Source organism: Homo sapiens, chromosome 12, assembly GCF_000001405.40.
Source record: "Homo sapiens chromosome 12, GRCh38.p14 Primary Assembly".
Taxonomy (NCBI): Eukaryota; Metazoa; Chordata; class Mammalia; order Primates; family Hominidae; genus Homo; species Homo sapiens.
This window is the reverse complement of record NC_000012.12, coordinates 18,175,405-18,183,576: the sequence shown is the minus strand read 5'-3', so window position 1 is coordinate 18,183,576 and position 8,172 is coordinate 18,175,405.

Sequence of the window (8,172 nt, the reverse complement as noted above, 5' to 3'; positions counted from 1 at the left end):
AATCGTTTCTTTTAACTTACTAGTGAAGATCAAACTTATCTAACTCTTTATTTGGTTTGTTTTTCTCTCAAAAGAGAAAATGGTTTCGAAGGACAAATCATATTTGATACATTTTGAGAATTCTGGTTCATAGACAAATATCCCACTGGTATTTCCATCATTCACAGCAAGCTCACTGCATTTTACCTCTTGTGTGGGCTCTGACAATATAATGATTTTCTAAGCCTTTTATTTCTGATCTTGAGCAAGAATCCTGGTGAGGCTGTCAGGATTTTAAATGAAAGTGAAAAGAAATTATACACCATGATGCCAGCAAATGAAAGGCAAATGTATAATTTGAAGTGTCAAATTTTAGAGAGACTAAAAGGAATTTGCTATTTTTAAGAACGTTTACTAGGAATTTATGAGAAAAAGACCTAAATCAATATATTTCTAATAGCTGGATCATAGATATAACTTATCAATTCTTATATTGATGCAGTAATAACAAATGTTTTTTATACCACCTTTAGGCACTGCAGGCATTACTAAAATATATTTTTTGATTATTGTAGTCTTTATCAAAATATACTTACTTTGTTAACATTATGTTGTGAGAGTACATTATTCAACTTAGTACAAAAATAAGGAATAAATTTATTTTGAAAGTTTCATTAATTATGAGTTTAAAAATAGATTTATGAAAGATACTAATCCAAAGTGAATATTCAAGGGTGATATTTATTTCCTCTTATTACATTATTTCTATTGTATGTCTGACTTTCAGGCAGAGAATTAAAAAACATTCAGTTTAAATATTTTTGGCATCTTAAAATAAAACTTCATTAAATTTTACAGAAACAAGTTTACAATTGCTTAAATAATACATATTGTGTTTTAACTGTGAGTAATGTGTTCACTTGCTTGACACATAACATTGTTTTACCTTTTCATACTGTAAGCAAACTTCTGAAAATAACTATCCAAGCTAAGAAGAGATACCATTTTCCTTGAAGTGTTATTTGTATTTCCCCTTGAGAGGAAAAACCTCCCCTTGAGAGGTTTAATTAAGCTAAAATTTATGGTGTTAAGAAATTTTTCAAAAACACTTCAGTTAAATTTTGGGTTTAAGGAATAAATCCTACAGAAATTCCTCTTTAAATTATTGTGAAAAATACTTCCCTTAAATTCTAAATAATATTTACTATCCTGATAAGATGCAATTCATATACATTTTAAGGTTATGTTTGGAAATTTTCTAATATTATTACTCTAAAGCAAAACAATCTATTTCAAAATAATTTTTTCTTTCAAGTTCTTAAAGACAAATAGCTATTTTAGGTATTAGTTATTTCTATTTTGTCTGATTTGTTTATTTTCTTCTCAGGTGTTTTAATTCATCTTGGGAAAGGGCCTAGCAGAGCAACTTCAATAGTTTAATGTCATAAAGCTGAAAAGAGAGAAGAAAAATGTTATAATTGCTTTTAGGTTAGCAATTATTAATGACATTTATTTTTATGATTAAATTTATAAAATGCTTTTATATAAATACTGATGTTATATTTCATTGAGAATTTACTATGTATCAAGCACTTTGGTAAGTAGTTTACCCGGAATATCTTATTTAACCCTCAAATGACCCTACACATCATTAGGTACTGCTATGATTCCTATTTTATGAAAGCAAGACTGAACTTTAGACAATAGAAAATCACATAACTATTACAGCAAAGCTAGTAAGTGGTACAGCCACTATAGCATATTATTGCTGTCTCTCTCCCCCCTTCTCTCTGTCTCCATCTATCTACTGATATTCTGTCTGTTTGATCTGCTTATTACTGACAAAAGGGACTTTGAAGACTCCAACTATAATAAATTTGTCTATTTCTCCTTTTAGTTCTATCAATTATACTTAAGATTTTTTCTTGGTTCCCCTAAAGTTTACAATATACTTTTCAAATTAACATAAGTCCACCTTTAAATAACACTATATTGCCTCATGTGTCTACCTTATACCAGAGTATTACCAATTCTACCATTCCACTCTTTGTGATATTTTTCTCATGCACTTCACTTATCTATTGACTATAATCATACAATTTGTCATTACCACTATTTAAGCAAATGGTTATATTTTAGGTCAATAAAGAATATGAAAAATAAGAGGTTTTATATTGTCTTCATTTATTCCTTGTCCAACACTCTTCCTTTCTTTATGAGGATCCAAATTTCAGACCTATATTATTTTCTTCTCCCTCAGGAACTTCTTTGAACATTTCTTGCAAGGCACATCTGCTTGTGATAAATACCTCAAATTTTGTTTTCAAAAAATCTTTATTTTTTCTTTCATTTTAAAAGGTAATTTTACTGCTTATTGAATTCTAGATTTTTTTCAATATTTTAAATACTTCATGTTATTATCTTCTTACTTGCCTGGTTTCAGATGAGAGGCCTATAGAGGCACAATATAAGGTTCCTTTATAGGAACTATAACAATTACAGAAGAGTTCTCATCTGAAACTTGTCTCATCTCCCCCCTGCACACTGGATTCTGTCAAGATTTTTCCTTTTCTCTGGTTTTACACAATTTGAATATGATATGGCTAGGTTCAGTATTTATCCTGTTTTGTGTTTTCTGAGTTTTGTGGATTTATGTTTAATGTCTGTCATGAATTTTTGAAAATTTTTGACCGTTGTTACTATAAGAATTCAAGTATTTTCTAGGCTTCTTTGGCTTTTTCTCTTCTCCTCTGGTATTTAAATTAGATGTATTTTATAACTTTTTATATAGTTCCACATTTCTTTCCTTGTTTTGTTTTTTTGTTTGTTTTGTTTTTCTTGAGACAGGATCTTGCTCTGTCACCCAGGCTGGAGTGCAGTGGCACAATCATAGCTTACTGCAGTCTTGAACTCTTGAGCGCAAGAGATCCTCCCTCCTCAGCCTCAAGAGTAGCTAAGCCTACAGGCATGCACCACCATGCTGAGCTAATTTATTTTTTATTTATTTATATTTTTTGTAGAGATGTGGTCTTGCTATGTTGTCTAGGCTATTACTGAACTCCTGGCCTCAAGTGATCCTCCTATCTCAGCCTCTCAAAGTGCTGGGATTACAGGCATGAGCAATTGTGTCCTACCCCACATTTCTTGTATGTTCTGTTTTGTTCATTCTTTTTTCCCTTTGCATTTTATAATCTTCAGGCTATATATCTGTGTTTTAGTGAGTCTGTGTATCTGGGCTGTGACCTTCTAAGTATTCTTCCAATGGTACTATTTTCTTTTCCCTTGTTCCTACTTGCTTCCCTATGTGTAGTATTTTCAATGTATACCCTTCAAGCCCTGACCCCTGTTAATCCCGCCACACCCCCACCCCCAACCTCCCTGTAACTTAGGTGAAATAGGAGGGCTAGAGGAAGGAGTGGTGAGAGGAATGCTTTTCTGCCTTCTGCAGTAAGGCTCTGGCCAAGTCTTTTTCCTGTAGAGTAAGCCTTTGATATGGAGAAGGCTCTGGACATGTTTCACAGTGGTTTCTCTTCCCCTCCGCCCCATTGCCTGCCCCTCTCCCTCCCCACCTCCACCACCCAACAGAACCAGCTCAGAAACCTTCTTTTGATCTTCACAGTGAGAAACTCAAGTTTGTAGGTCTCCCAAGACTGTAGCTCCCAGAAGTTTTTCCACTCTACATTCAGTGTCTAGCAATTTGTAAAAATTACCATGAAAGTATTTTACCAATGTATGATCCCAGCTTCTGTTCCATGTACATAGATCTTGTCTGTGTCTCTTTAGATTTACCTGTCCTTCCATATTTTAGTGTGAAAGTTTTCCCTGCAACCTCAACTTACTATTTTATCCAAGTAATGGATTTTCAGCTTCCCTGGCTTCCTGCTTTCTTCTTTCTTCTTCTTCTTCTTCTTTCTTCTTTCTTCTTCTTCTTTCTTCTCCTCCTCCTCCTCATTCCTCCTTCTTCCTTCTTCTTTCTTCTTTTTTTAAAGGACATCAGTTACAACTTCCATTCTTCTATATCGGAGATGAAACTGAAAATCCAAGTGCAATCAAAGACTCAGATAAAAGACATTAATTTAGAGTCTTGCACCACAGTTACAGTTATGAAATGTCATTGGTGGGCTTAAAAAGTCAAATCTTCTTGTGCAAATCGAAGACATCTTTTGCTATAATGCATCTTACTTCTTCTCATTTTACTATCTTTCTTTATTGTAGGTTGGATCATCTGGCATAAAATCAACTGCTTGTAGCTTTTGTGTTTCCTTGGTCTATAGAGATACATATATATCTTCCTATTAACTCCAATTAAGAGTTGGTGCAAGTTATTGCAGTTTTTGCATTGATGAAATTTGCCATTTGATATTGGAATACATTCTTAAATAAATGTGGTTATGTTATACTGTTACTGGTGGAGCGTGTCTAGGTTCTTGGCATCTCGAACAAAGAATTGGACAAAATGCACAAAGCAGAGAAAGAATGAAACAACAAAAGCTGAAAGTTATTGAAAATGAAAATACACTCCACAGTGTGTGAGCAGGTCTAACCATAGGGGTTCAAGGGCTCCATTACAGAAATACCCTCTAGAGGATTCCAGTGGTTACTTGGTGTACACCCTATGCAAATGAAGAAGATTAAGTAAAGTTACAAAGTCATTTACTTAGTGTACGCCCTATGGAGAGGATATTTCCTGTCATAGCTAAAGAGTGAATCTGCCTTACATTCCCTGCCTCCAGACCCTATTTTCCTTTCTCATTTCCCCCTGAGAGAGGTAATCCCTATAAATCTTTATGGGAGGTAGTGGGACTGATGGCCTTTCTTCTGTAACTGCTTCATGCTGGCTAACCTATTGGGCATCACAGAACTCTCACCCTGCTCTGTTTAGTGGAGGCAAGGTAGCTTCTTGAAGGCCAGGGGTGGTGCTTTCACTTGGAACTAGCTGGAACCTTTGTTGCATGATCATCTGAAGCTTGATGGTCTCTAGGAGAAAGGAAATGAATTTGGTTAAAAGATTTAATGGAAACTTCAGGGGATGCATACCTATTGTTATAAATAAAGTTTCGGTGCCACAAAAGAAATAGCACTCGAATATAAAATTTTCTTTTTAATTCTCAGCAAGGCAATGTACTTCTATAGAAGGGTGCACCCTTACAGATGGAGCAATGGTGGGTGCACACTTGGACAAGGGAGGGGAAGGGGTTCTTATCCCTGATGAACGTGGCCCCTGCTGCTGTGTGTTACCCTATTGGCTAGGGTTAGACAGCACAGGCTAAACTAATTCCAATAGGCTAATTTAAAGAGAGTGACGGGGTGAGTGGTTTGGCGGGAGTCAGGGTGGAGCAGGTAAGGGTGGAGCAGGTGATCAGAATGAGTCAGGGCGGAGCCGGTAATCGGAATGAGTCAGGGTGGAGCAGGTGATCAAAAAAGATTGCTTTACGAAGAAGTTAAGTTTAAAAGTGGGAGGCAAAGAATTGAACATACTGACCTGTTGATTCTTTGAAGAGGAATTTAGAACTTATATCTAATAATTCCCTCCTCTTGCATTTTCCTTACAGCTCTTTCTTTTCAAACTTCTTTAACATGTCCTGGCTTAGTTGTTCTGCTTGATTTTCCAAAAGAAGAAGCTTTTCTGGATAAGGTGGATGATAGTTAAGGGAGGTTTTAATAAGCGCCATTTCTATGAGCCTCTGCACCAACCCATGGATGCATGGTATGACACAGCACCTGACAATAATAAGTACACTCATTACAGCTGTGAGAGAAGTAAGAATTGAGGCTATTATTCCTTTCCATTTACCGAACCACTTTTCTAGCCATCCTGTAAAGGGGTCATTTACCCCTGAGTTGTTGGTTAACTCATCAGACAGAGCAGTCAGACCTTGCAATGCCTTTGTTATACTTCCATCAGGGGTGGTGTTGTTTGGGATCAAGGTACAACATTGAGTTTTAATTGTGATGCAAACTGCCCCTCTTTCTGCTAATAACATGTCTAAGGCTATCCTATTTTCGTGAGCCATCTGGCTAGTAGCCCCTAATTGCTCAGCTATTCCTTTAACAGCATCTCTCGTGTAGTTAATAAATCACTGTTGGTTGTAGTAGATGTAGTTTATCCAATTTACATTTTTATTAATTGTCACCCACCAAAATATTGACTCAAATTCTGCAGCTATTTGATTTCAGGCTTTAAATTGATCTTGTATTCTCTGTGGGACTCCAATTGCATTTAAATAGACGTAAGAGTTGAAAGACCCATAAGGGGCTCCTCTCACTTTATGATGTCTTATTTTTCCTTCCTCTGGTTGATGAAATGCCAGGGTGAAAGGGATAGCCAACTGGACTAAAGCACAGGTGCCACTCCAGTTATTTGGCAGAGTGTGCAGTAAAGGTCCACCACAATACCACCACACATCCACTCGGGGATGAGCAAGGGCTGACTGATTGATAAGCTCTGGAAAATTCTTAAGCTCACTGCATCCCTTCAGGTCTCCAAGGAACACTAAGTTTTCTGCCTGTTGTGAGAGACACGAACTGAACTTAGTTTTGGGAGATGGAAGCTGGATGGCCCTTGGGGGTTGAACCGCAGGGTGCCGGACTTTGGGATATAGCAGAGAGAGAGCTTGGTACGACTTGTTACTCCAGGCTGTAGAATCCCGGAAAAGAGCTACCATGAAGCCCATGCCCGGTCACCTGGAGGACCACCCTAGTGGGAAGGAGACAATCTGGGCCTCTGGCCTGCCGTGCACCCAAGCATAACAATTGCTTTTGTTTAACCTGCAGGCGGAATATTTGATCCATTCCAACCAGGCATTTGCATCTTGGTACCTGTATTAATTGTCAAAGTTTGTTTTAAGTCTTTAACTTCTACTGTAGCTATCTTGGTCTTGTCATTAGATGGAGGAGGAGCAATTGTTCCATTGTGAGAGGTTTTGGAAGAATGCTTAGAGGAAGCTGCAGGCAGTGGGGGATCGAATAAACACATTTCAAAGAATCCAATAGGGTCTGTCCCTGAAACCTCAGCCCCCATACCATAAAACTGGCTTAAAGAAGGGAAGTGGCCTAGAAAAGAGGAAGAACTTTGAGGGTTCAAGATAACTTGTATAGGATTGCACTGGTTTAGCTGACAGTTGGAGGGAGTGGTGCTGTCTCTCTCATAAAGTGAATGTATGGTTTTAGGAAATTACAAAAACCGGTTGGGGCAGTCCATCCTTGCTCTTTAGTGGTCCATAGAATGCTGGAACAACTATGGCATAAAAGCTCTACATTGGGGTGGGGGCAAGACTCCTGGTTGACGCTGGGGTCTTTATTGAAATCTTCCCAGATCAAATGGTCCCAATTCACTAATGCTCAGTCTTAGGAGAGTCAAGGGGGACAGAGCTACTTTTCTGAAGTAGAGAGCTGTCTTTGACTTGGCAAGTCCCCACAGGGTATAACAAAGCAAGCATCAAATGCAATAGTTTGAGGCAAAATTGACTTGGTTATGTTAATAACTAGATGGTCAGCAATAGAGTGAGGAAAGAAGAAAGAGTAATAGAATAGATGAAAGAGAGTTAAATTTTTCTTAGCTTTAGTTTGGTAGGGTTTTCCCCTGGGAATATGGCCCACAAATCTGAAAGGGGCAGCACTTTCTTGACTCGGGTGTGATGAGTCCATCCCCTTTCTGCTGTACGAACAGCAGCAGTCTCCGTGGTTAGCAGCACAAGGTAGGGTCCTTCCTAGGCTGGCTCGAATTTTCCTTCTTTCCACCCTTTGATGAGAACGTGATCCTCATACTGGTGCTGGTTTACTGGAAATTCTAGGGGTGGTACCTATGCTAGAGGATTTTAGTTTTGAGGGAAAGGAAAGTGTAAGATAAACCAAGTATGTAATTTCTAAGAAACTGATCTTTTGTTTTAAACGTGGGGACATCAGCAGTGGACTTTATGTCCTTCGTGCCTTCTTACTGAGAAATTTTCTTTAGCACTTATTTTTGTTAGTTTTTAGACCAAAGAAAGCCAAACACCATTTTATATTTGACAATGCTTCCTGTATGATTTTTATACCAAATAAGCTAAATTTCACCTTTCTATTAGTGTGTTACTAATGCTAAATTCAATTTTAATAAAACCTTGTAGACATATTTATCCAATTTTAACGTCTGACCATAAGGTAAGATTTTTATAGACTCTTTTTAATCTTTTATAATTTTTGTTAAAGAGC